Source organism: Homo sapiens, chromosome 16, assembly GCF_000001405.40.
Source record: "Homo sapiens chromosome 16, GRCh38.p14 Primary Assembly".
In the NCBI taxonomy this organism is placed as follows: Eukaryota; Metazoa; Chordata; class Mammalia; order Primates; family Hominidae; genus Homo; species Homo sapiens.
The window spans coordinates 69,281,161-69,309,073 of NC_000016.10; the positions used below are offsets into that span (position 1 = coordinate 69,281,161).

Sequence of the window (27,913 nt, forward strand, 5' to 3'; positions counted from 1 at the left end):
TTTTTTTCTTCAGGGATTGTGCTTTTGATGTTATATCCTTTTAAATCATCTAGAGTTTCTCCTATGTTATAGATTTTTTTTTTTTTTTGAGACGAAGTCTCGCTCTTGTCCCCCAGGCTGGAGTGCAATGGCGCGATCTCGGCTCACTGCAACCTCCGCCTCTCAGGTTCAAGCGATTCTCCTGTCTCAGCCTCCTGAGTAGCTGGGATTACAGGCGTCCACCACCATCCCAGGCTAATTTTTGTAGAAATTTTAGTATTGTGTTTTACACTTAGGTCAAAGATCCATTTTGAGTTAATTTTTGTGAAAAGTATGTAAGGTCTGGTTTTTTTTTTTTTGTTTTTTTTTTTTTACATATGGATGTCTACTTATTTGTAGCGGCATTTGTTGAAAAGACAGACGATTCTTGGCTGGGCACGGTGGCTCACGCCTGTAATCCCAGCACTTTGGGAGGCCGAGGCAGGCAGATCACCTGAGGTCAAGACCTGCCTGGCCAACATGGTAAAACCCTGTCTGTACTAAAAATACAAAAATTAGCTGGGTATGGTGGCAGGAGCCTGTAATCCCAGCTATTCGGGAGACTAAGACAGGAGAATCGCTTGAACCCAGGAAGCGGAGGTTGCAGTGAGCGGAAATCATGCCATTGTGCTCCAGCCTGGGCGAGAAGAGCAAGACTCCATCTTAAGAAAAAAAAGAAAGAAAGAAAAGACCATTCTTTCTCCATTGAATCACATTTGTTTCTCTCTTTTTTTTTTTTTTTTTGAGAGGGAGTCTCGCTCTTGTTGCCCAGGCTGGAGTGCAGTAGCGCAATCTCGGCCACTGCAACCTCCACCTTCCCGGGTTCAAGCGATTCTCCTGCCTCAGCCTTCCGAGTAGCTGAGATTACAGGCGCCCACCACCATGCCTGGCTGATTTTTGTATTTTAGTAGAGACGGGGTTTTACCATGTGGGCTAGGCTGGACTTAAACTCCTGACCTCAAGTGATCCGCCCGCCTTGGCCTCCCAAAGTGCTGGAATTGGCTGGGCACAGTGGCTCATGCCTGTAATTCCAGCACTCAGGGAGGCCCAGGCAGGCAGATCACCTGAGGTCAGGAGTTTAAGACCAGCCTGGCTAACATGGTGAAACCCCGTCTCTACTAAAAATACAAAAAAAAAAAAAGCGCTGGAATTACAGACATGAGACACCACTCCCGGCTTGAATCACCTGTGTTTCTCTGTCAAAGATCAGTTGACTGTATTTGTGTGGGTTTGTCTCTGGGCTGTCTATTCTGTTCCATTGATCAATTTGTTTGTTCTTTTGCCAGTTCCACACTGTTTTGATTACTGTAGCTTTATAGTAAGTGAAAGTTGAGTGGTGCCAGTATACAGATTTATTTTCAACTTTTGTTCTTCTTTAGTATTATGTTGACTATCTGAGTCTTTTGAGTTTCCATACAAACTTTGGAATCAGTTTATCAGTATCTACAAAATAACTTGCTGGGATTTTAATGGGATGGCATTGAATCTGTAGATCACCTAAAAGAGAACTGACATCTTAATATGGAGTCTTTCTACCCATGAACGTAAAATATCTCTTGATTTATTTAGATCATCTTTGCTTTCTTTCAGGAAAGTTTTGAAGTTTTTCTCATAGAGATTCTATACATATTTTGTTGGACTTATGCTTAAGCATTTCATTTTATGGTAACTGACATAAATGGTATGTTTTTAATTTCAAATTTCAATTGTTCAAAGCAACTGACTTGTATATTAATCTTATATCCTGCAACATTGCTATAATTGCTTATCAGTTTTAGGAGTTGTGTACAGGGTCTCACTCTGTTGCCAAAGCTGGAATACAGTGGCATAATCATGGCTCATGGCAGCCTCAACCTCCTGGGCTCAAGCAACCTTCTACCTCAGCCTCCCAAGTAGCTGGGACCACAGATGCACACCACCATGCTGAGATTTTTTTTGTTGTTTTTTGTTTTCTTTTGTTTTTGTAAAGACAGGGTGTCTCTGTATTGCCCAGATTGGTCTCAAAATCCTGGTCTCCAGTGATCCTTCTGCCTCAGCCTCTGAAAGTGCTGGGATTACAGGTGTGAGTCACTGCATGCATCCAGATTTCCTTTGTCTATTTTGGGGGATTTTTAAAATGTAGACAGTCATGTCATTTGCAAACAAAGACAGTTTTATTTATTTTGGAATCATTTTTTTCACATAACATTTCTTCATAGGCCAAATAATTCTAGAGTCAAATGCAAAAGCAGCATGAATTTTTAGATAAAACCCGACTTTATGTTCACTGTGCTTCTTTACTAGCTGCATCTCCCCAGATGAGATATTCACTGCCTTCTACCATTGGAAGTTCTTTGGTGATTGGACAAGAGATTGATGCTAAAAATATATATATTTTAAGCTCTTTGGCTGAAATGTTTGAAATGCAGTTAGCTATCCATTTTTTCTTACAGAAGCATATTTTTCCTCTGAAGTTATTACTGTTAATTTACTTATTTCCTAATCAAAATCATATCTTTTTGATACATATAACCTCTTGGGAGCATAGAGGAGCTCATGGAAAATTAGGGCCACGGTTCATCCAGCCCAGTATCTTGGCCAGGCCCAGATGCTCACGCCTGTAATCCCAGCACTTTGGGAGGCCGAGGCAGGAGGATTATTTGAGCCCAGGAGTTCAAGACTGGTATCTTGTCTGACTGTGATACCAGGGGTCATTTTATGGGAAAACAGAATGGTCTGTATTTCAGAGACTATAATCTTGCTTTGAAATGTCTATATCCAAAAACTGCTGATTGCTTTTATAAGTTTCTCTTATCAATGAGCACAAATTCCTGACATTTTTGTCTGATAATGTAGTTACTTTTGATCTCTGCTCTGTTTGTGGTCCTAGGTTGGTTCATTCTGGCTCCGGATGTCGATCCCCCTCCCTTGGATCTGACCTTACATTTGCTACCAGGACAGGCTCTCGACAGGGCATTGAGATGCATCTCTTCAGGGTGGAGACACATCGGGATCTGTCATCCTGGACCAGGATACTTGTTCAGGGTTGCCATGCTGCTGCTGAGCTGATCAAGGAAGTCTCTCTAGGTAGAGATGCTGACTTTTTATTTCTAGTAGTAATTAAATAGAACTGTTATATAGTCATGTGCTGCATAATGACATTTCAGTCAGTGATGGATTGCATACATGACAGCAGTCCCCTCAGATTATACTACTATATTTTTACTATACCTTTTCTAAGTGTACATATGTTAAGACACACAAATGCAGCCTGGGCAACATGGTGAAACCCCGTCTTTACTAAAAAAAAAAAAAAAAAAAAAAAAAAAAAAAAATCCGTGCACAGTGGCTGATGCCTGTAATCCCAGAGCTTTGGGAGGCCGAGGCAGGTGGATTGCCTGAGCTCAGGAGTTCGCAACCAGCCTGGGCAATACAGTGAAACCCCATCTCTACTAAAACACAAAAAATTAGCCAGGCGTGGCAGCATGTGCCTGTAGTCCCAGCTGTTCGGGAGGCTGAGGCAGGAGAATTGCTTGAACTCGGGAGGCGGAGGTTGCAGTGAGCCAAGATCACACCACTGCACTCCAGTCTGGGCGACAGAGTGAGACTCCGTCTCAAAAACAAACAAACAAACAAAAACAAACCTGAGGGTGGTGGTGTGCATCTGTAGTCCCAGCTACTCGGGAGACTGAGTGAGTTGAGATCATACCACTGCACTCCAGCCTGGGCAACCAGAGTGAGACCCTGTTTCAAAAAAAAAGATACACGAATGCTTACCATTGTGTTACAGCTGGCTACAGTATTCAGCGCAGTAACATACTATGTAAGTTTGTAGCCTAAGAGCAATAGGCAGTACCATAGAGCTTAGGTGTATAGTGGGGTGTGCCATGTAGGCTTATGTAAGTACACTCTATGATGTTCATTCAATCACGAAATCATCTTATGATGCATTATGCATTTCTCCAAACATATTCTTGTCATTAGGTGATGCATGACTGTACCATAATCTGTTTTAAAGTAAAACTATTATTTGTGCCAGACTTAAAAATGTGCTAAAATATGGCAGCTAAAAGTGATAATGATAGAAAGAAACCTGGTTTCTCTAGTTTACTAGCAAAGTTTTTTTAAGCCTGGTATATGACTCGAAGTACATTTATAATACCGTATGTACAACATGACATTTTTATAGTTCATCTCTCTTTTTTTTTTTTTTTTTTTAGAGTGGAGATCTCTATCACCCAGGCTGGAGTCCAGTGGCATGATCCATCATAGCTCACTGCAGCAGCTTTGAGCTTCTATTTATTTATTTATTTATTTATTTATTTATTTATTTATTTAAAGAGACAGGGTCTAGCTCTGTCACCCAGGCTGGAGTGCAGTGACATGATCCGAGCTCACTGCAGCCTTGAACTCTCCTGTGTTTAAGTGATCCTCCCTCAAGCCTCCCGAGTAGCTGGGACTACAGGTGCCCACCACAGCACCCAGCTAATTAAAAAAAAAATTTTTTTTTTTTAAGTAGAGATGGGCCTCGCTTTGTTGCCCAGGCTGGTCTCAAACTCTTGGCCTCAAGAGATCCTCCTGCCTCAGTTTCCCAAAGTGCTGGGATTCCAGGCAGTGGCACCTGGCCTTTTCAGTTTACTTATTTATTTTTTTGACATGGAGTCTCACTCTGTCGCCCAGGCTGGAGTGCAGTGGCATGATCTCAGCTCACTGCAACCTCCGCCTCCCAGGTACAAGCTATTCTCCCACCTCAGCCTTCTGAATAGCTGGGATTACAGGCACCTGCCATCATACCCAGCTAAGTTTTGTATTTTTAGTAGAGACAGGGTTTCACCATATTGGCCAGGCTGGTCTTGAACTTCTGACCTCAGGTGATCCACCGACCTCAGGTGATCCGCCTACCTTGGCCTCCCAAAGTGCTGGGATTACAGGTGTGAGCCACCACGCCTGGTCTTCGGTTTATTTATTTATTTTTTTAGAGATGAGGTCTTACTGTGTTGCCCAGGCTGGTCTCAACTCCTGGCTTCAAGCTATTCTCTGGTCTTAGCTTCCTGAGTAACTGGGATTATAGGCACAAGCCACTGTGCCAGGCCAGTTGTCATTTAATCTGCATTTAGTAGTGTAAGAACTAGCCAGTAATTCCAGCTACTTAGGAGGCTGAGGCAGGAGGATTGCTTGAGGCCAGGAGTTTTAAGACCAGCCTGAGCAATATATTGAGGACCCCATCTCTACAATGAAAAATGAAGCTGGGTACACTGGCTCATGCCTGTAATCCCTGCACTTTGGAAGGCTAAGGCTGGCGCATTGTTTGAGCCCAGGAGTTTGAGACCAGCCTGGGTAAAGTGGTGAAACCTCATCTCTACTAAAAATACAAAAATTTAGCTGGGAGTGGTGACACACATCTGTAGCCCCAGCTACTCAGGAGGCTGAGGTAGGAGGATCACCTGAGCCCAGGAACTCAAGGCTGCAGTGAGCTATGGTAGTGCCATGGCACTCCAGCCTGGGTGATGGGAGCCAGAACCTGTCTCAAAATAAATAAATAAATTTAATTAAATGAAAAAAAAAAAAAAAGCCAGACATAGTGGCACACACTGTAGTCTCAGCTGCTCAGGTGGCTAAGGTAGGAAGATTGCTTGAGCCCATTTCAGGGCTGTAGTGCACAATGATCAAGCCTGTGAATAGCCACTGTACTCCAGCCTGGACAACATAGTGAGACCTTGTCTCTTAAAAGAAAAAATAATGTAAGGACTCATTTACCAAGTACTAGATACATGGACTCTCCAGTTAAGAAGATTGAAATCTAAGTTGTGGATAGGCGCCCTTAAAAGATGAGTATCTAGCAAGTTTATGGCTATGGAAAAATAAAGGATTTGAAATAGGAGTTACTCTACAAAAGTTTGAAAATGTGTGCCCAACACTTACTCAAATAAGTATCTAAAGGAAATAAGGTTGGTTTCTTTCCATTGTGGAAGCGCCCTCTTGTGGTTAGTTGTCATGAATTTGGAGTATTGTTTTTTATATATATTTACATATATGTATACATGTAGATATTTGCAAATTTTTTTCTTTTTTTTTAAATTGTTTTTGGCTTTGGACAAAATGAAAACCTTTATTTAAAAATACAGGCTGGGGCCGGACGCGGTGGCTCATGCCTGTAATCCCAGCACTTTGAGAGGCCAAGGAGGGCAGATCACTTGAGGTCAGGAGTTCCAAACTAGCCTGGCCAACATCGTGAAACCCCATATCTACTAAAAATACAAAAGTTAGCCAGGAGTGGTGGCAGGCGCCTATAATCCCAGCTACTCAGGAGGCCGAGGCATGAGAATTGCTTGAACCCGGGAGGTGGAGATTGCAACAAGCCAGGATTGCGCCACTGCACTCCAAGCTGGGAGATAGAGTGAGACTGTTTCCAAAAATAGAAATGCTGGAAGCGGTTGCTTATGCCTGTAGTCCCAGCACTTTGGGAGACTGAGGCAGGCAGATCACTTGAGGCCAGATCGAGACCAGCCTGGCCATCATAGTGAAACCCCGTCTTTACTAAAAATACAAAAATTAGCTGAGCATAGTGGCACATGCCTTAAGTCCCAGCTACTCGGGATGGTGAGGCACAAGAATTGCTTGAACCTGGGAGGCGGAGTCTGCAGTGAGCTATGATCACACCACTGCACTCCAACCTGGGCAACAGTGGGAAACTCTGTCTCAAAAAATATATATATATATATATGTATATGCATTGGGCCAAGCACGGTAGTTCACGCTTGTAATTCCAGTACTTTGGGAGGCTGAGGTGGGCGGATCACTTGAGCCCAGAAGTTCAAGACCAGCCTGGGCAACATGGTGAAACCTCATCTCTATTGAAAAAAAAAAGAGTAAATGAGGTTTAAAAAAAAATACAGTATTGGAGGTGAGGCACGGTGGCTTACACCAGAATCACACTGGGATGCTCTGTGTTCCTGTGGGCAGTCGAGGGGTCAGGCCAACACATTCATGCCGTTGCTACCATCTGGGGTCACTGTATTGTCCTCAAGAATTCAAGGGGATATGCTTCCCAAAATCAAGAGTGCAACTTGGATTTTCAGCATTTTTTAGTTCATGTTGTTTCTTTGGTGTCTAGCAGCTAAATTTCATTTTTCAGGTTAAAGCTTCCCAGGCTCATAGTTGTTTAAATATGATGGCTAGAGGAAAGGAAGAGTGAGAGCCAGCTGGTTCCTTGTATTTTTAAATAGACAAAAGAAACATATTTTTCGGTAATTTTACACTTTTTTGTTCTTATTCACAGCTGTATTTTTTTAAATCAACTTCCCTTTAAAGCCATATAGCTGTATTTTAATATTACCTTGGTAACTGTTAGAGTAGCTAATATTCAAAAGACAAAAAATAACAGATGCTGGTGAGGATGCAGAGAAAAGCAAACTCTTATACACTGTTGGTGGGAATGTAAATCAGTATAGCCATTACGGAAAACAGTATGAATATTTCTCAAAAAGCTAAAAATAGAACTACTGTATGATCTAGCAATCCTACTATTGAGTATTTATCCAAAAGAAGAGAAATCAGCATGTCAGAAAGATACCTGCACCTCCATGTTTATTGCTGCACTATTCACAATAACAAAGATAGAGAATCAACCTAAGTGTCCATCAGCAGACAAATGGATTAAGAAAATATGGTATATATACACAAAGGGATACTATTTGGCCATAAAAAATATTGCAGTCATGTCATTTGTAGCAACATGGATGGAATTGGAGGTCATTATGTTAAGTGCAATAAGGCAGGCATAGAAAGACAAATGTGGCATGTTCTCACTTATATGGGAGCTAAAAAAGTGGCCAGGCGTGGTGGCTCACACCTATAATCCCAGCACTTTGGGAGGCCGAGGCGCGCGGATCACCTGAGGTCAGGAGTTCGAGACCGGCCTGACCAACATGGAGAAACCCCATCTCTACTAAAAATACAAAATTAGCCAGGTGTGGTGATGCATGCCTGTAATCCCTGCTACTCGGGAGGCTGAGGCAAGAGAATTGCTTGAACCCGGGAGGCAGAGGTTGCGGTGAGCCAAGATCGCACCATTGCACTCCAGCCTGGGCAACGAGAGCTAAACTCCGTCTCAAAAAAAAAAAAAAAAAAAATGTTGATCTCATGGATGTAGACAGTACAAGATAAATACCAGAGGTTGGGATGGGCGTGTTGTGAGGGGCTGTGAAGAAGGGTTGGTTAATGGGTATAAACATACAATTAGAAAGAAGGAATAAATTCTAATGTTCAAGAGCAGAGTGTGGTGACTATAGTTAGCAATAATGCATTGTATAATTCAAATAGAAGAAAGGACTTAAAATGTTCCCAACATATAGAATTGTTAAATATTCAATGTGATGGATACCCTAAATCCCTTGACTTGATCATTACACATTTTACACATGTAACAAAATATCAGGTAACAAAATATCGCATGTACCCCTAAGATATATACAAATATTACATATTAATATAAAAAAGATTACACTGTGGTTCGCACCTATAATCCCAGCACTTTGGGAGGCTGAGGCAGGTGGATCACTTGAGCTCAGTCTGGGCAACATGGCGAAACCCCGTCTCTACAAAAAATTAAAAAATTACCCAGGCCTGGTGGTGTGTGCCTGTAGTCCCAGTTACTCAGGAGGCTGAGGTAGGAGGGTTGCTTGAGCCCGAGAGGTCAAGGATTCAGTGAGCTATGATTACGTCACTGCACTCCAGTCTGGGCAACAGAACAAGACCCTGTCTCAAAAGAAAAAAGGAAATTGTTGGGAGATTCAGAACTGTCTGTTAAAACTATAGTTGGCAAAAAGAAATCAGTTAAGCTGTTCCTTGTCTCTATGTTTTGGTTATAGTTTACCCATCTAGAAACATGTCAATGAATACCTACAAAATGTGACGAGTAAATTCAATACATAATCTTCCTAATGTTCATTTAGTTTTAAACCTTGATTAGGCTATAGTTACAGTAGAGCTAATCAGTGATCCCTCTGGTACAGAAGGACTTTCTCCTGCTTGCAAGTATGAACTTCAAGATGAGTAGGCATAGAATGCAGCTCTCTTCCTCAAGTACAGAAAGCCATTTCCATTTGTCACAGGATTTGAAACTATTTTAAAAATTGTATAGTATACTTTTAAAGGCTTATTTTCATCATACCAATTATTTAAGCCATTAAAGTTTTTAAGTCATACGAGAACTTTATGAAGGCACTTTATATGTCTGTAGTTTTGATGATATGAAGACTAAGAAGCAGTAAATATAGGTAGGAATTACGTTAATAAAAATGAAGAAAATCTAGGAGAAGAGAAGAAAAACAGGCATTTACAAGGATTTATATTGTTAAAATATATGAAGAAAGAGTTTTCTGTGACCATATTATTCACCATTTCTTAGAAATTATCTTGAGTCCTTTTTACTCATCGGTTTGGCAAATATTTTTCAGTATATACTCTGTGCTTTTACTAGCTATAATAAAATAAGGTAAGCATAGCCCCTATTTTTCAAGTAGGAAGGACAGAAACCAAAAGAATAATAGGTATGTATCAGGATTGTCATAAGGCATAAATGAAATACAGGCATCATCTAACCTTCACACACAACTCTCTGGGGCAGATGTTGTCACCTGCATTTTCAAGATATGGGAACTGGTGTTAGTATGGTTAGGACTTGAACTGGGGCCTTTTTGGGCTCCAGAACTAGAGCCTTAAGCCCTGAAATTTCTCTAAATGACTCACACTTATGACCAGGTTAAACTTCTGAAGGATATACAATATCAGTCTAATTTGTTAATACATATTTACTGAATGTTTTAGTATTTATCAAGTGCTGTGCTTTGTAATAAAAGAAAAATAAGTAAGATGTACTTCATGCCTTTGACCAAATAGCAATAAGAGAACACAGTGTCATGTTCTTTTCTGTGACCCTGGGCATGATGAACCTGTTGCCTATACCTGATGGGCTGGCTTTTCCTATGTGCAGTCACTGGGAAGGATGCCCCAGCCTTTCTCTGAGACAGTTCTGGGCTGTCAGGCCAGGTCTAACCTGAAAGACCTACTCCCTTCTGAGGTGCTCTGAGTAACACACACAGTCCTATGGCTGCTAGAGAGATGGGCCTGGGGACTTGCTGGAAACACTAGATAGGGCCCCCCAGAGCCCCAGAAACAGGACCTGTAGCATAGAACTCTGCCATTAGGTTCTTTATCCCTCATGACACACTGATAACCACCAGCAGTTCTCATTTAAAAAAACACATAGTTGGCCCAGCGCTGTGGCTTATGCCTGTAATCTCAGCACTTTGGGAGGCCAAGGCAGGAGGATTACTTGACACCAGAGTTCGAGACTAGCCTGGGTAACACAGCAAGACCCCCCATCTCTATTTAAAAAAAATGAGCTGGGCATGGTGGCATGCACCTGTAGTCTTAGCTATTTGGGAGACTGAGGCAAGATAATCACTTGAGCCCAGGAGTTTGAGGCTGCGGTGAACTGTGATCACACCACTGCACTCCAGCTTAGGCAACAGAATGAGACCCTGTCTCTAAAGAAAATAAAAATAAAAAATAAATAAAATAAGCCTGGGCAACAGAGTAAGACCGCGTCTCTATGAAAAATTTTGAAAGTTAGCCAGGCATGGTGACACATGCCTATAGTCCCAGCTACTCAGGTGGCTGAAGTGGGAGGATTGCTTAAGGCCTGCAGGTCCAGGCTGCAGCACTGCACTCCAGCCTGGGCGACAGAGTAAGACCCTGTCTTAAAAATAAATAAATAGGCTGGGCACGGTGGCTCACGCCTGTAATCCTAGCACTTTGGGAGGCCGAGGTGGGCGGATCATGAGGTCAGGAGATCGAGTCCATCCTGACTAACACAGTGAAACCTCGTCTCTACTAAAAATACAAAAAATTAGCCGGGTGTGGTGGCAGGTGCCTGTGTGGTGGCAGGCACCTGTAGTCCCAGCTACTCAGGAGGTTGAGGCAGGAGAATGGCGAGAACCCGGGAGGCAGAGCTTGTAGTGAGCCAAGATCACGCTATTGCACTCCAGCCTGGGCGACAGAGCGAGACTCTGTCTCAAAAAAATAAATATAAATACATAGACACAAAGTGGATAACATATACACTGGTTGTACTATCTACACAAAGTGGATAAATACAACACTGGTTGTATTTACCATTGTTCACCTTATTTTTTATATATATATATATATATATATATTATATATATATTATATATATATATATATTATATATATATTATATATATATATATATTATATATATATAATTTTTTTTTTGAGACAGAGTTTTGCTCTTGTTGCCCAGGCTGGAGTGCAATGGCACGATCTTGGCTCACTGCAACCTCCGCCTCCCGGGTTCAAGCAATTCTCCTGCCTCAGCCTCCTGAGTAGCTGGGATTACAGGTGCCCACCACCATGCCCAGCTAATTTTTTTTTTTTTTTTGCATTTTTAGTAGAGGCGGGGTTTCACCCTGTTGGCCAGGCTGGTCTTGAACGCCTGACCTCAGGTGATCCACCCACCTCGGCCTCCCAAAGTGCTGGGATTACAGGCATGAGCCACCACGCCCGGCCGAGTGTTCACCTTCTTATAACATCAATTTTTTGATTTATTATTTATTGAGCAAGTTTTCCTCCTAGCTTTATTAAATTACTATCGGGGAGCTTCTTAGAACGCCATCTCTAATGTATGTTTTATACTTAACAACATCCCCGTGGTGTGAAAAAGCCAGTGCCTCACCCCACAACCCCCAACTTAGGAATCTGAGAAGTAGTAGTCAGAGCAGTAGAAGGAAAACCGGGATTGGTGGGGATGGTAACAGCCATGGAAACCAGAGGAAGAGTATTTCAAGGGAGGAAAAGTCAGTAGGAGTAAATGTATTAGTTGGGATGATTTATGCTAAAAATAGTAGGACATGGCCACTAAAACTAGAATAAATATTAAATATCTTGCATAAAAGAGAGCAAGAGTGAAAGAGAGAGGGCCCTTCTCTTCCTAGTGATAGATCTTTTCAATCTGATTGAGTCAGTTTGGCTCATATGTCCAGTCTGAACCAGAACAATCACCAGGGGAAACCCATGCTTTGACTGACCCAGAAGCTGTCTATCCATAAGTCGGGAGTACCCTTCCCTGAAACACATTAGGACACAGTAAAAACCTGAATAAAATTGAGGTTTGCCTATAAAGAAGAATAGAGAAATAGAAGCTGATAGACAGCCAACAATTAGTACTACAAGTGCCAAGTAGGATGAGGCTGAAAAAGCAGGTTGGATTTAGCGATATGGAGATAATTGATGTCCTTGGGGAGAGATGCAAAACGATGTAATGGCAATGGCAGATTGCAGAGGTCTGAGGAGTGGACGTGAGGTGAATCATGGGCAAACTGAGTAGACAGCTCTTTCAAGAAGTTTTGATATGAAGAGGAGGAGAGAGGGGGAGTGGTACTTGGAGGTAAGGTACAGAGTTGAGTAGTGGCATTTCTTTTAATAATGAGAGAGGCTTGAGCATTTAAAAAAGTGAATGGGAGGGATCTGATTCAGAGGGACATGTTGAAAACACAAGAGGTAGAAGTAGTAATCAATCTTTTACAATTTCTAGGAAGGTGGAGGTAGATGCAATCCAAGGCACAGGTGAGGGGATTGGCCTTAGCCTGGAAGAGGGACAGATGGAAGAGAAGAAATAACGGAGGGAGATGTAGAGCCTATCTTGGCTGTTGAAGTGGGCAGTGCCTTTTACTGCTCAGTAATTTGGGCCATAGACATCCCTGGCTTTTTCTCCATCCCTAAATCCAACTGCAGTTATAGGCCACTTTTATGTTGTTTGAATTTTTATTTTATGTTTTTTGTTTGTTTGTTTGTTTGTTTTTAGAGAGACAGTCTCATTCTGTTGCCCAGGCTGGAGAGCAGTGTCACGAACATGGCTCACTGCATCCAGGCTGAAGCAATCCTCCCACCACAGCCTCCCAAGTAACTGGGACTACAGGTGCATGCAACTATGCCTGGCTAATTTTTGTAATTTTGGTAGGGATAGAATCTCACTATGTTGCCTAGACTTGTCTCAAACTTGTGGCCTCAAGCAGTCCTCCACCTCAGCTTCCCAGAGTGCTGGAATTACAGGCATGAGCCACTGTGCCCAGCCAGTTGTTTGAATTTTTAAAGTTACATCATGCTTGTATCATCAGGAAAAAAAAAATTGTTTTTTGACTAAAGAGCCATCAGTCAGTCCCATACACTGAAACTCTTATCACTATAAAGGATTTTACAGGCTGGGCATGGTGGCTAATGCCTGTAATCCCAGCATTTTGGGAGGCCAAGGAGGGTGGATCACCTATGGTCAGGAGTTTGAGACCATCCTGGCCAATATGGCAAAACCCTATCTCTACTGAAAAAAAAAAAAATACAAAAATTAGCAGGGCGTTGTGGTGCGCCCCTGTAGTCCCAGCTACTAGGGAGGCTGAGGCAGGAGAATCGTTTGAACCCAGGAGGCGGAGGTTGCAGTGAGCCGAGATCATGCCACCACACTCCAGCCTGGGCGACAGAGCGAGACTCCATCTAAAATAAAATAAAATAAAAGCACCTACCGCAGAGCCCTGTGTTTATGTACCTTCCTCTCTTGATACCTGAAGAACTGTAGTTTTTGATTTTTTTTTTTTTTCGCTCTGTCACTCGGGCTGGAGGGCTGGAGGGCTGGAGTGCAGTGGTGCAATCTCAGCTCACTGCAACTTCTGCCTCCCAAGTTCAAGCAATTCTCCGGCCTCAGCCTCCTGAGTAGCTGGGATTACAAGCACACACTGCCATGCCTGGCTAATTTCTTTTGTATTTTAGTAGAGATGGGGTTTCACCATGTTGCCCAGGCTGATCTCGAACTCCTGAGCTCAGGCAATCCACCTGCCTCGGCCTCCCAAAGTACTAGGATTACAGGTGTGAGCCACTGCGCCCAGCCAAAACTGTAGTTTTTTACCCCTTTAACTTCAGTACTTACTATTGTGCTGCTATTGTGTGTCTTTTTCTATTTCTGGTAACAACCCTGTTAAACAAAATCAACATACTGAATTTTTTTTTTTTTTTTTTTTTTTTTTTTTTTGAGACAAAGTATTGCTCTGTCTGCCAGGCTGGAGTACAGTGGCCCGATCTTGATCTCTGCTCACTACAACCTCTGCCTCCCAGGTTCAAGGAATTCTCCTGCCTCAGCCTCCCGAGTAGCTGGGACTACAGGCGTCTGCCACCACTCCCGGCTAATTTTTGTATTTTTAGTAGAGACAGGGTTTCACCATATTGGCCAGGCTGGTGTCGAACTCCTGACCTTGTGATCCACCCGCCTTGGCCTCCCAAAGTGCTGGGATTACAGGCGTGAGCCACCGCGCCCAGCCAACATACTGAATTTTTTACTGACTTATCTATAAATTGGAGTGCATAGTGGACACATAGCCATCCAAAAGCATTCTAAGTGAACCAAGACATAATGAGCCACCTGCAACAGCTCCATTAATAAGTCCCAGATGCTATCCCGTCAGAAAAGGGCCACTCCTCTTACTAAATGGGGAATTTATACTGAAAAAAAAAAAAAAGCCACTTCTCATACACACACACATAGCTGTTAAATCAGAATGAAAGGCTTATTTCCCCTATCTCCCTTTGGTTCATTACTCCTAAAAGGGTAAGGGGTGTCAGGCACTTAATCATCATTGCATCACTGTGGTGTGATGTACTCAATGTTTAGAGAAAAACTGTTTAATTGGTTCGATTTGGCACAGCATTTACATGACCAGGTCACAGTCTCATTCAGAAGAATCTGGTATTAATTATACATTTTAAACTATGGCCGGGTGTAGTGGCTCATGCCTGTAATCCCAGCATTTTAGGAGGCCGAGGCGGGTGGATCACCTGAGGTCGGGAGTTCGAGACCAGCCTGACCAACATGGAGAAACCCCATCTCTACTAAAAATACAAAAAATTAGCCAGGCGTGGTGGCGCAGGCCTTAATCCCAGCTACTTGGGAGGCTGAGGCAGGAGAATTGCTTGAACCCAGGAGGCAGAGGTTGTGGTGAGCTAAGATCACGCCATTACACTCCAGCCTGGGTGACAAGAGTGAAACTCCGTCTCAAAAAAAAAATTTTTTTTAAACTAAAACAAGCTCAATATCTAGACCTAAATACATTAAGTTTGACACACACACACAGAATCACACACAGTCACATTTGCTTTCCATTCTTTCCTTCTCCAGGGGAAACAATCCAAAACAGAACATTTAAGAAATCTCAGGCCGGTCGCGGTGGCTCATGCCTGTAATCCCAGTACTTTGGGAGGCCGAGGCGGGTGGATTACCTGAGGTCAGGAGTTTGAGACCAGCCTGGCCAACATGGTGAAACCCTGTCTCTACTAAAAATACAAAAAATCAGCCAGGCCTGGTGGCACATGCCTGTAATCCCAGCTACTCGGGAGGCTGAGGCAGGAGAATTGCTTGAGCCCAGGAGACGGAGGTTGCAGTGAGCCGAGATCATGCCACTGCAGTGCAGCCTGGCCGACAGAGAGACTCTGTCTCAAAAAAAAAAAAAAGAAAAAAGAAATCTCAGGGGCCAAGCACTTTGGGAGCCCAAGGTGGGCAGATCACGTGAGGTCAGGAGTTTGAGACCAGCCTGGCCAACATAGTGAAATCCCTGTCTCTACTAAAACTACAAGAATTACCTGAGTGTGGTGGTAAACACCTGTAATCCCAGCTACTCGGGAGGCTGAGGCATAAGAATCATTTGGGAGGTGGAGGTTGCAGGGAGCCGAGGTTGCGCCATTGCCCTCCAGCCTGCATGACAGAGTGAGACTCTTATCTCAAAAAAAAAAAAAAATCTCAGGCCAGGTGCCGTGCCTCACACCTGTAATCCCAGCACTTTGGGAGACCGAGGCAAGTGGGTTGCCTGAGCTCAGGAGTTCAAGACCAGCCTGGGCAAGATGGCAAAACCCCGTCTCTACTAAAAAATACAAAAAATTAGCTGGGTGTGGTGGTGCCCGCCTGTAATCCCAGCTACTCAGGAGGCTAAGGCATGAGAATTGCTTGAACCCGGGAGGCAGAGGTTGCAGTCAGCTGAGATTGCGCCAGTGCACTCCAGTCTAGGTGACACAGCAAGATTCTATCTCAAAAAAAAAAAAAAAAAAAAAAAAAAAAGGAGGCCGGGCACGGTGGCTCATGCCTATAATCCCAGCACTTTGGGAGGCCAAGGCGGGCAGATCACAAGGTCAGGAGTTTGAGACCAGCCTGACCAACATGGTGAAACCCTGTCTCTACTAAAAATACATAAATTGGCCTAGTGTGGTGGCACGCTCCTGTAATCCCAGCTACTCAGGAGGTTGAGGCGGGAGAATTGCTTCAACCTGGGAGGCAGAGGTTGCAGTGAGCCAAGATCACGCCACTGCACCAGCCTGGGAGACAGAGCGAGACTCTGTCTCCAAAAAAAAAAAGAAGCCATGTGCAATGGCTCACGCCTATAATCCCCACACTTTGGGAGGCCGAGGTGGATGGATCCCTTGCAGTCAGGAGTTCAAGACCAACCTGGCCAACGTGGTGAAACCCTGTCTCTACTAAAAATGCAAAAAAATTAGCCGGGCGTGGTGGTGTACATCTGTAATCCCAGCTACTCAGCAGGCTGAGGCAGAAGAATTGCTTGAGCCCAGGAGGGTGAGGTTGCAATGAACCGAGATCACGCCACTGCACCCCAGCCTGGGTGACAGAAGGAGATTCCATCTCAAAACAAACAAAAAAAAGAATCTCTAAATCTCTCTTTTTAAAATTGTTTAGACATTGCTCTGTCACCCAGGCTAGAGTGCAGTGGCATGATCATAGCTCACTGCAGCCTTGAACTCCTGGACGCAAGTGATCCTCCCACCCCAGCCTCCTGAGTAGCTGGGACTATAGGCACACACCACCATGCCCAGATACATTTTTTATTTTTATAGAAATGAGATCTTGCCATGTTACCCAGGCTGTTCTCTAGCGCCTGGCCTCAAGTGATCCTCCTGCCTCCTGCCTTAGCCTCCCAGAGTGCTGGGATTGTAAGCATGACCCACCACACCTGGGGCATTTGCCAGTCTTGATGACCAAAATTGTTTGTATCCTGTCAATTCAGAGGTGTCCTTTGAATTGTATCTTTGATAGCGTTGACTGTGACTTTTGCTGAGTATAGCCTTTAACTTTGATGAACATAATCTTTATCTTCATCCCAAATGCCAACCAAACCATGTCACGGCTCCTGAAAGGCCTCTCTGCCTTTGCTCCTTTGGTTGGTCCTTCTTGCCCAGTTCAGTCCTTCTGCCTCTTCCTCCCTGCCTGTCCAGTTTTACCAATTCTTTTTTTTTTTTTTTTTTTTTTTTTTGAGACAGTGTCTCGCTCTTGTCACCCAGGCTGGAGTGCAGTGGCGTGATTTCATCTCACTGCAACCTCTGCCTCCCAGGTGCAAGCAGTTATCCTGCCTCAGCCTCCCAAGTAGCTGGGATTACAGGCATGTGCCACCATGGCTGGCTAATTTTTGTATTTTTAGTAGAGACGGGGTTTCGCCATGTTGGCCAGGCTAGTCTCTAACTCCTGACCTCAAGTGATCCGCCCACCTCGACCTCCCAAAGTGCTGGGATTACAGGTGTGAGCCACCGTACCCGGCCAGTATTACCAATTCTTTAGGGCCTATCTGAAGGCCCATCTCCTCCAGGAAACCTTTTCTTGACTTTGGCCTCATTCACTTTGGTGTTTGCTCATGTTCTGTACATTCTGCCTTACACAATTGGGGATTTCCTGTCTATGCCAATGAGTTTACAAAGTCCTTGAGAGCAGGGACTGTGCCTCTTACTTCTCTAGTGCCTTGCACAGCCTACACACACTTGCCAGTATGAGTGTTCAGTGGGTACTCGAGGAATTAAATCGAACAGATGTCAAGGAGTGTTATGGTCATTTCTGCCTCATCTCAGTGACCAAAACAAAACACACTTCTTTTTTTTTTTTTTTTGAGACAGTCTTGCTCTGTCGCCCAGGGTGGAGTGCAGTGGTGCAATCTTGGCTCACTGCAACGTCCGCCTCCCGGGTGCAAGCAATTCTCCTGCCTCAGCCTCCTGAGTAGCTGGGATTACAGGCACCCGCCACCACACCCAGCTAATTTTTATATTTTTAGTAGAGACGGGGTTTCACCATGTTGGTCAGGCTGGTCTCAAACCCCTGACTTTGCGATCCGCCTGCCTCGGCCTCCCAAAGTGCTGGGATTACAGGCGTGAGCCACCACGCCTAGCACAAAACACACTTTAGAAGTTTCCATACAGGTTAGGTATCACACATTCTCAAGAAAATATTTTTCCTATTTTGAAGTCAGAAGATTCCCTTTTCACTTGATAACTGACATAGCAACTTTACAACTAATGTTTTTTGCTTTTCTTCAACAGGCTGCATGTTAAATGGCCAAGAGGTGAGGCTTACTATTCACTATGAAAATGGGTTCACCATCTCAAGGGAAAATGGAGGCTCCAGCAGCATATTGTACCGCTACCCCTTTGAAAGGCTGAAGATGTCTGCTGATGATGGCATCCGAAATCTATACTTGGATTTTGGTGGTCCCGAGGGAGAACTGGTAAGAGTGTTTCTGAAACACATGTTTATCTAATAGATGTTCTCTTTCCTTCTCATTACTTCTTACCCCTTATATACAAAGTCATGGACTGACATTCCATTTAGAACCATGAAATTTTAAATTAAAAAAAATTTTTTTAAAGATGGGGTCTCTGTCACCCAGGCTGGAGTGTAGTGGTGCAATCATAGCTTCCTGCAGCCTATACCTTCTGGGCTCAAGTGATCCTCCCACCTCAGCCTCCTGAGTAACTGGGACTGGACTATAGGTGTGTGCCACCATGCCTGGCCAATTTTTTATATTCTTTATAGAGATGAGGTCTCGCTTTGCTGCCCAGGATGGTCTTGAACTCCTGGCTTCAAGTGATCTTCCCATCTTGGCCTCCCAAGGTGTTGAGATTACAGGTGTGAGCCACTGTATCTGCTCTTCTTCAGTTTTCAAGATGGCATTGGGTGTTGGTTTTTGTTGCCGTCATTTTTCTTTTTTTTTTCTTTTTTGAGACGGAGTCTCGCTTTGTCGCCCAGGCTGGAGTGCAGTGGCACCATCTCAGCTCACTGCAACCTCTGCCTCCCTGGTTCAAGCAATTCTGCTGCCTCAGCCTCCCGAGTAGCTGAGATTACATGCACGTGCCACCATGCCTGGCTAATTTTTCGTATTTTTAGTAGAGATGGGGTTTCACCGTGTTAGCCAGGATGGTCCCAATCTCCTGACCTCATGATCTGCCCGCCTCAGCCTCCCAAAGTGCTGGGATTATGGGCGTGAGCCACCGTGCCTGGCCTTAGATTTTAAATCCTCTACTATTTAGTTCTTCCTACCAGGCATGGTGAAACCCAGTACACCACCAGTTGTCTCCTAATTGGGGATGTGAAACCTCACACCAGTATTATGACATGGAATAACCTTACTCCATAGTGCACTTTTGCCTGTGGCTTTAAGTTCCTAAGAGTTTCCATAGCTCTGGCACATTCTTTACCTACCTTAAATTTATTTTGCATCTTCGTTTATTAAGTTGTCTGTATATGGTAGTGAGGTAGTGATGCTTAGTGTCCTTTCTCCACAGACCATGGACCTGCACTCTTGTCCGAAGCCGATTGTATTTGTGTTGCACACGTTTTTATCGGCCAAAGTCACTCGTATGGGACTGCTTGTATGAGCAACAAAAAATCAGAAAAGAGCCTTGACTGTCACAAGAAATATTTCCACCTCAAAAAAAAAAAAGCACAAAAAGAAACTCTTTGCTCTCCTTCAGCACAGTGCCTTCCCAAGGACCTGCAAATAACTGCTGAACCATAACCGTGTTTAAAGAAGAGCCTACCTTTCACAGTCTACCTTGGCCAGATATTCTAGCACTCTAAAAGGCTCCAAAATGAAGCTGTTGATTTATTCTCATTTCAAAATATGGTTTATGAGTAATTAGGTTTATTTCTACTGCTAAAAAGAATGGCTCATTGTTTTCTTTTTTTTTCATTGTTTTCATTTTTAGACATAATCAAATACCCAAGCATTGTTTTCTTTTTCTTCTCCCTGTAGGATTTGTGTTGTGCTTAGCCTTGATCTCTTGTTCAGAACAATTGTCCCTTCCCAGGTGCTAGCTTGCAGCAGCCTGTTGCTTCCTGAGCATTCCAGATAGGTCGTATGTCTTGGAATTTACTGTCCTCACTAGCTCCTTCCACCATAGGAAGTCCTTGAATTGTATCACCAAAGGGTTGTTCCATTTGCCCTGGATCTCCCTCTATCTCAGCCTGGCCATCACTTCCCACCTTATCCCAAGCTTTGCCACTGTCTCTAGGACTTAGAACTTGTAAATTTGATTTGCCTTGCCTTCTACTTCCTTTCTAGTGGTGACTGAGTTGAAAAGCAAGTTGGAAGCCACTGCTTTTAAAGAAAAGTTTTGCTTGGTTTAGGTTTTTCCAATTTTATTTTTGTTAGGAGCCAGGGGATAAGATTTATTTTAAATGAAAATCCTCTTCCTAGGTTAAGCCATTTTTTTTATTGCTTACCAAATGTGCCTTTGGTTAGGGTTAGTGGAGCTTTATTAGTCACTATTTGAATAACTGGAAATCACTGCCATTTCCAGGAGATCACCTATCCTAGTTTTGAGGAATAGTCATTGAGGTGGGTTTCCTTAATGGCATCTCTTCTAGTAGGCAGATCTGTTTGAACAAGATAAATCCTAAAGAGCCAGCCTGCTTGAGGAGTAGACTTGGTGGGTGAAGCCAGCAATTCCGCACAAACGTCATGTTGAATTGTTTTGGGCTGCCCAAAAACAACAGGATGCAGCATCCTGGCTGTGGCCTGGCCCTTTGTGGCAGCAGTGGCATGGACAAGCAACTGCTAATTCGAGACTTACTATTGGCTTCACAGCACACCCTACAGTGAGCAGGGTGATGAGACCGTGGAACAGCTACCTGCTTTTGGTTAAGATTGCCAGATATCATTAGGACACAGTAGCAGCAAGAATGCTGATTTTGTAGTGTTAGAAAATGAACTCAGCTTGTTTTTCCTAATTTTGAAGGTGGTATATATCTGCAAACATTTAAAATGGTATAATATCATATAAAATGTCAAAATTAGCACAGTCCCTGGATCTCAAAGAATAGGTAATATTGACTTGGATGTTCTTTATGCTCTCTGAAGAAAGGTCTAGGGAAAGTTCTTGTTTGCTTGATTGATCAAGAGTGCCACGGAAGAATGTGAGCGCTGTGGAGGGTGGAGGAGGGTGTCACTTCAGATGGGGCAGGCACAGGGGGAGAAAAGAAGAGAAAAACACACCTGTGTGCAAAATGAGCTATTTGGTTTCAGTGCGGCCTGACCGATGGGGAGGACCCATGAGCAGAGAGAGTTCTAGGTCAACATTGTAACTCCATTGTCCTCCTTCACCCATAAGTCAGTCCTCCTTCCTCATTACAGTGAAACCAACAATATGCAGAGGTTGGGGAGAGATGCCTGTTCTTCCCCCAGCTTCATATAATTGTCAAAGTTCCAAAAATGAATTATCTGAACTGCTTAAAACTGGAAATTAAAATCTAGACAAGAATATGTCTTTCAAGAGCTTTTTATGTTTTGAAAGTTCATAAACCTAAGATTGGCTCCATCTGAGATAAATTTTCTTTTCTTTTTTTTTTTGAGACGGAGTCTCGTTCTGTCTCCCAGGCTGGAGTGCAGTGGCATGATCTCGGCTCACTGCAACCTCCACCTCCTAGGTTCAAGTGATTCTCCTGAGTAGCTGGGGTTATAGCTACCCACCACCACACCCAGCTAATTTTTGTATTTTTAGTAGAGGCAGGTTTTCACCATGTTGGCTAGGCTGGTCTTGAACTCCCGACCTCAAGTGATCCACCTGCCTTGGCCTCCCAAAGTGCTGGGATTATAGGTGTGAGCCCCCGTGCCTGGCCCACAATAAATTTTCATTTCAGAGAAGGAAAAAAATCTCTTGAACGTCCAGAAATGATTTCTGGAATCAGAATTTCAATATGTAATACCCTCAGGTAGGCAATCTTGAACCCTCTATGCAGTGAGAGCATTATTAATATGAGATGTTGAATGATGCCTTTACAGACTTCAGCAGCAAAGCCATTTGGTTGAGGTTTTCTGTGTTAATGTGAAAAGCTAAGCCACTGAGATTTGCAGGGGAGCTTCTGAGCCACCCTGCTTGTTGGTTATATGAGGATGTAAAATAGGTGGAATTAAAATGTGAGCAGGAAAGGCAAGGCATGTGTGCATTTTCACTCATTTTGGTCAAGGTTAAACTGACATGTATAGCACTGAGGTCTGTAGGGTTCTTAATATCTTTTGAGTCTTGCTGTGAAATGAAAGTGTGGGAGGTTTCCTTTGTCCATTAGCAGCCCCAAGAACCAGAACCCTTTTGCTGCTTTTCTTACATACCTAACAGCTCTCCAGTCATGATGACCAAGGTTGTTCTTCAATCAAATGTGTTTGTGGGATTTTCAGTCCGCAAATGAAGTGCTCTCTAATGAATGGGACACCATGATAAATATGTATTTATATTTAGATGCCAAAGTATGGCAAATTATTTCCAAATGATAACTACAAATGGGAATTTTCGATATTCTACCTTTTTTATAGAACCAGCTCACTTTTCATTTCTTTTTCATTTTGAATTAAGAAAATTGTTGAGGATGTGGTGGGTTCCAGTGTGTGGAATGGAAAGGAAACTGCAGAATAGTGTCTGCTCCCCATTCAGAGGGACTGCTTCCTGTGCCCCCCAGACCCGGGGCTTCGACAGCTTCTCCACATTCCACACAGATGCCTAGGAGCAGCGAGTTGGTATATGAAAAGTCTCCCACCTTTTCTCCTAAAACTTCTCTCCTTTCTCTCCATAAAAAGAAAAGGAAAGGAACAAAAGAAAAACATTCAGTTTTTCTTTTTCTGAAAAAGGTAAGTCCTTTCCTGAAGTCATCAAATGAAACATTATCTGGAAATTAGTTTCTAATGTTGTATATGAAGAAATACTTAAATATAAGTTCCTGCAGTATTTATTAGATAGTTGTAACTGTAAACTCACCTCCCTAGTAGATAAGAGTTTCAGGTTAAATACTGGAACATATATAGGCAGTCAAAAATACTACTTTAAATGTCATTCACCTATTTTAAAGCCATGTTTTAGCACTTTTTAGGCCAAAGAAGGTCTGATAGTGCCTGTTTTTATGTTCTGTACTCTCACAAACTTTGTTACTCAAAATTATTGCATGGCAGGAGAGATTGGATTATTTATTTCTTATATTTTTATAAGTAAAAAAATCTTTCTAAACAACAAATACCTAACATTATTACTGATTGTTTTCCTAATTTATCCTCCTAAGTTGAATGGTAACAAAGCTTTTCCAGCTGAATGAATGCACTTAGCTGATAAACCAGAATTTGTTCTTTTTTTTCCTTCTTTTTTTTTTGAGACAGGTTCTCACTCTGTCACCGAGGTTGGAGTGCAGTGGTATGATCATAGCTGACTGCAGCCTCAACCTTCTGGGCTCAAATGATCCTTTCACCTCAGCCTCCTGAGTAGCTGGGACCACAGGTGTGTGCCACCACACCTGGCTAATTTTTATGGATTTTTTTTTCTTTTTTTTTTTTCGCCATGTTGCCCAGGCTGGTCTTGAACTCTTGGCACTCAAGCAGTCCTTCTGCCTCAGCCTCCCAAAGTGCTGGGATTACAGATGTGAGCCACTGCACCTGGCCCCAGAAATTATGCTTAAAAAAAAAATTAAGCTGTGTGGAATCTGGACAAGGCTATGTTTCTCCTAGAAACAGGTTTTGCTGTAAATGGTTTTGATGGGCGAAAGTGTGAGAAAAGGTTATAATAGATTCTTTTTTTTAATTTTGTGAGAAATTCCAGGTCTTCTTGCTTAACTTATATGCATGTGGATATATTTGTTTTCAAAGCCATGGAAGAATCTCTGTTCATATATTTTAATGCAAATTACCTTGTATGCTGCTATGCAAATTCTATTAAAAGGCCTACCTGCTTAAGAATTAAACATTTTTGAAACTTTCAGGGAAGACCTGTAGACTCAAGCACTTTCTCTGCTTTTTTGTATCTTATCTTGGACACTTATGCTGAATTATGTTCTTATTATTTTCACTGGTTATAAGCTATTCCTTGTACATAATATTTAAACTATCCAAATATCCAGCATACATTTCCATGTGGCTGCCATCGGCTGTTGATGCCATGAATGAAATGGCTGGTTAGAAAGCCAAAGGTCTTCTTTTTTCAATTCCTAATGAATAAGTAAAATGCCAGATCTCTTTGGTCTCAAAGCAAATTGCTCTGATCAGATCAAATATCTATGTAATGAAAAGAGACTTACTTAAATTTGGGATTCTGCTTAAACTTTAAGTTGAATTTGACTGTAGTCATTCATTCTTTTTATATATCTCTGTCAGGTATGACATTAATTACCAGGTGGTATTATACTCTACTTTGAGTTTGGACATCACTTTCAGTTAAATTTCTGTTGTTATTGTGGCTTTTTTTTTTTTTTAACCCCACTGAAGATGGAAGTAGAGCAGTCTGCCATCTCCTGCTGTTCTTTCTCTGTGCCCCCTAATTGCTTGGTAATCTAAAATTATTCTGACTTTCCACATACTGTCTTTAAAAACCAATTGTAGCAATCTGCCCGCCTCCACCCTTTAAGCTAAATCTTTCACTGTGCTGGATACATAGACACTCGATAAATGTGTGATGATAGTTCTAAAATAATTATGCTATATATCAGGGTTCTGTATTTTTGAGCAATATCATTATTCCTATGCTGTGATGTTAAATGGAATTTATTTTACACTAGTAATAGACTGCTTAAGTGGCTGATTTGAAACCTTTCTCTAAAAAAACAAAAACATCTGGCAGATGAGTGACACAAATTCATTCTCTTAAAGGATAGAATTTCAAGTTAAGGATAAGGCACAATAAATAGGCACATAGAGGACATCTGTTTTTGTTTTTGGTTTTGGTTTTGTTTTTTTTTGTCTCTCTGACTAGCTAAACTGCCAACTAGAAGAATGGTTGTTATGTAGTAACTCAGAAGAATCTTTTAATAAGTTTCTTCTTTTGTTTCAAAACAAACTTGAGCTTCATTTCTTGCCACCTCTATTCTTTCTTCCCACGTTGGGTGACTGAACTGATGCTTATTCTAGTTTTAGAAGAGGATCCACATTTAATGTAAGGCATAAATATGCCTTTTGCAAATTATTGCTTGTTCTCCAGTGAACATTTGATCATATTCAACAGAAATCCACCATATAAACCATAATCCTTGAATTGCCCCTTTTAAAATAGATTGGTTAAAACCAAAAACCTATAAGAGAGAAATGATATTTCATTGTATTGTAGGTTTGGGAATCCTGGTTAGATTTATAATTTCTGGCCGGGTGCGGTGGCTCATGCCTGTATTCCCAGTACTTTGGGAGCCCAAGGTGGGTGGATCACCTGAGGTAAGGAGTTTGAGACCAGCCTGGCCAACATGGTGAAACCCCATCTCTACTAAAAATACAAAAAGTTAGCTGGGCATGGTGGTGCGCGCCTGTGGTCCCAGCTACTCGGGAGGCTGAGGTGGGAGAATCCCTTGAACCCAGGAGGCAGAAGTTGCAGTGAGCTGAGATCATGCCATTGCACTCCAGCCTGGGCAACAGAGCGAGACTTCATCTCCAAAAAAAGAAAAAGAAGAAAAAGATTTATAATTTCTGAGTCCCCTAAGTCCCTTTCTCAGTTTGCAATAATCTTACGTCCATGCTATTGACACTAATTTTGAAACTGGAAAGCTAATTAATGACATATTCATGTGTTCTTTCATCTAATAAACATTTATTAATGTATAGTTCTACACCAGGCATTCTGAAGGGTCCAAAAGAAAGTTCCTGCCCTCTAGTAGCACATAATCCGTTATTTCTCAGCACACCATGCCATCTGTTTATCATTCAGCAGTTAAGTAATTCATCACTTCATATTTTTACCAAAGTATATTTACAAGTCTGTTTATCTGGATCTGGCAAACTGGAAAATGTTTGAAGGGATACTCAGGCTTTGATCCATGCCAACATGAAAGGACTCCAAGCACATTTAAGTAGGCTGGTCTTTTCATCATGCATGATTTTTTTTTTAGTGCAAATTTAGACTTTAGTTTGGGAAAGAGAACAGTATACAGTATCCTTTGTAAGATAAATCACAACAACAAAAATTAAGTTTTATTGCACAAAGTAGATAAATGAGAAAGTCTTTCTTAAAAAATGCTTCTTTAACTGTAACAGCAAAACTAAATGCATATTTTATCAACCCCTTATTTCTAATTGCTGTATTCATTTCCACCCTTAAACTATTTAAGCATTTCATCTGCTGAAAGTCCTTATATACATGGTAGACGGAATATTTCTCCATTAATGATAGATCAAAATGAAGATATTTAAAAATTAACAAAATCAGGCCAAGGCAGGAGGATCACTTTAGCCCAGGAGGTCCAGACCAGCCTGGGCAACACAGCGGGACCCCGACTCCATTTAAAAAATTAAAAAAAAAAAAAAAACTTTTAACATTTAAAAAATAAAAATTAACAAAATTTCACTTATTCCAGGACACGCTGGCATTTGGACTCAATGAAAAGGGCACCTAAAGAAAATAAGGCTGACTGAATGTTTTCCATAATTTTCACACAATAACAGTCCCTTTCTATCCAGCTTGCCTTCCATTTATCTCTAGGGTTAGCTTTTCAGGCAACATCCTTGGTCATTGCCCAGAAAGTACCTGAGCTATCAGTGATTGGAATGGCACAGGAAACCGAATCACATGGGTGCCCTCCCCTTGGTTTTCAAGTATCTTGGAGTTGTGCACAAAAATTAGGTCATGCCTTCAGTGTCTTGTTCTTTAAACCTACCCTTTGACAATCAGGTGCTAATGATTGTATACTATTAAAACCAGCACATAAGTATTGTAAATGTGTGTTCCTCCTAGGTTGGAAGAAATGTCTTTCCTTCTATCTGGGTCCTGTTAAAGCGGGTGTCAGTTGTGTCTTTTCACCTCGATTTGTGAATTAATAGAATTGGGGGGAGAGGAAATGATGATGTCAATTAAGTTTCAGGTTTGGCATGATCATCATTCTCGATGATATTCTCACTTTGTCGCAAATCTGCCCTTATCGTAAGAACAAGTTTCAGAATTTTCCCTCCACTATACGACTCCAGTATTATGTTTACAATCCATTGGATGAGTGCAGCATTATAAGACCTTGGTGCCCAGAAAAATCTGTCCTTTTTGGTACCAAACCTGAGGTCTTTTGGAAGATAATGTAGAAAACCACTACCTATTGAAGGCCTGTTTTGGCTAATCTGTGCAAACTCTGATGATACCTGCTTATGTGGATTCTTTTCCACACTGCTTTCATTTTTAAGTATAAAGACTTAGAAAACTAGAATAATGCTTTTACAAATAATTAAAAGTATGTGATGTTCTGGGTTTTTTCCTTCTTTTTAGAACCCTGTATTTAAACAAGCCTTCTTTTTAAGTCTTGTTTGAAATTTAAGTCTCAGATCTTCTGGATACCAAATCAAAAACCCAACGCGTAAAACAGGGCAGTATTTGTGTTCCTAATTTTAAAAAGCTTTATGTATACTCTATAAATATAGATGCATAAACAACACTTCCCCTTGAGTAGCACATCAACATACAGCATTGTACATTACAATGAAAATGTGTAACTTAAGGGTATTATATATATAAATACATATATACCTTTGTAACCTTTATACTGTAAATAAAAAAGTTGCTTTAGTCACGTGGGTTGTTTTTTTTTTCC

General features: G+C 42.1%; 1 protein-coding gene across 4 annotated transcripts in view; it reads left to right on the forward strand.

Moving 5' to 3' along the window:
* The window catches only part of SNTB2 (syntrophin beta 2), a 121,889-nt gene extending 93,997 nt beyond the window's left edge, over window positions 1-27,892 (forward strand). For all 4 annotated transcript variants that reach the window (NR_172088.1, NR_172090.1, NR_172089.1 and 1 more), the window contains 3 exons: window positions 2,888-3,084; window positions 18,430-18,614; window positions 19,672-27,892. Coding sequence is in view for 1 of the 4 variants with exons in the window: in NM_006750.4 (NP_006741.1) it covers window positions 2,888-3,084; window positions 18,430-18,614; window positions 19,672-19,764 (475 nt within the window). In the remaining 3 variants the exon portion in view is untranslated. The remainder of the gene's footprint in view (window positions 1-2,887; window positions 3,085-18,429; window positions 18,615-19,671) is intronic.
* Window positions 27,893-27,913: the final 21 nt, after the last annotated feature.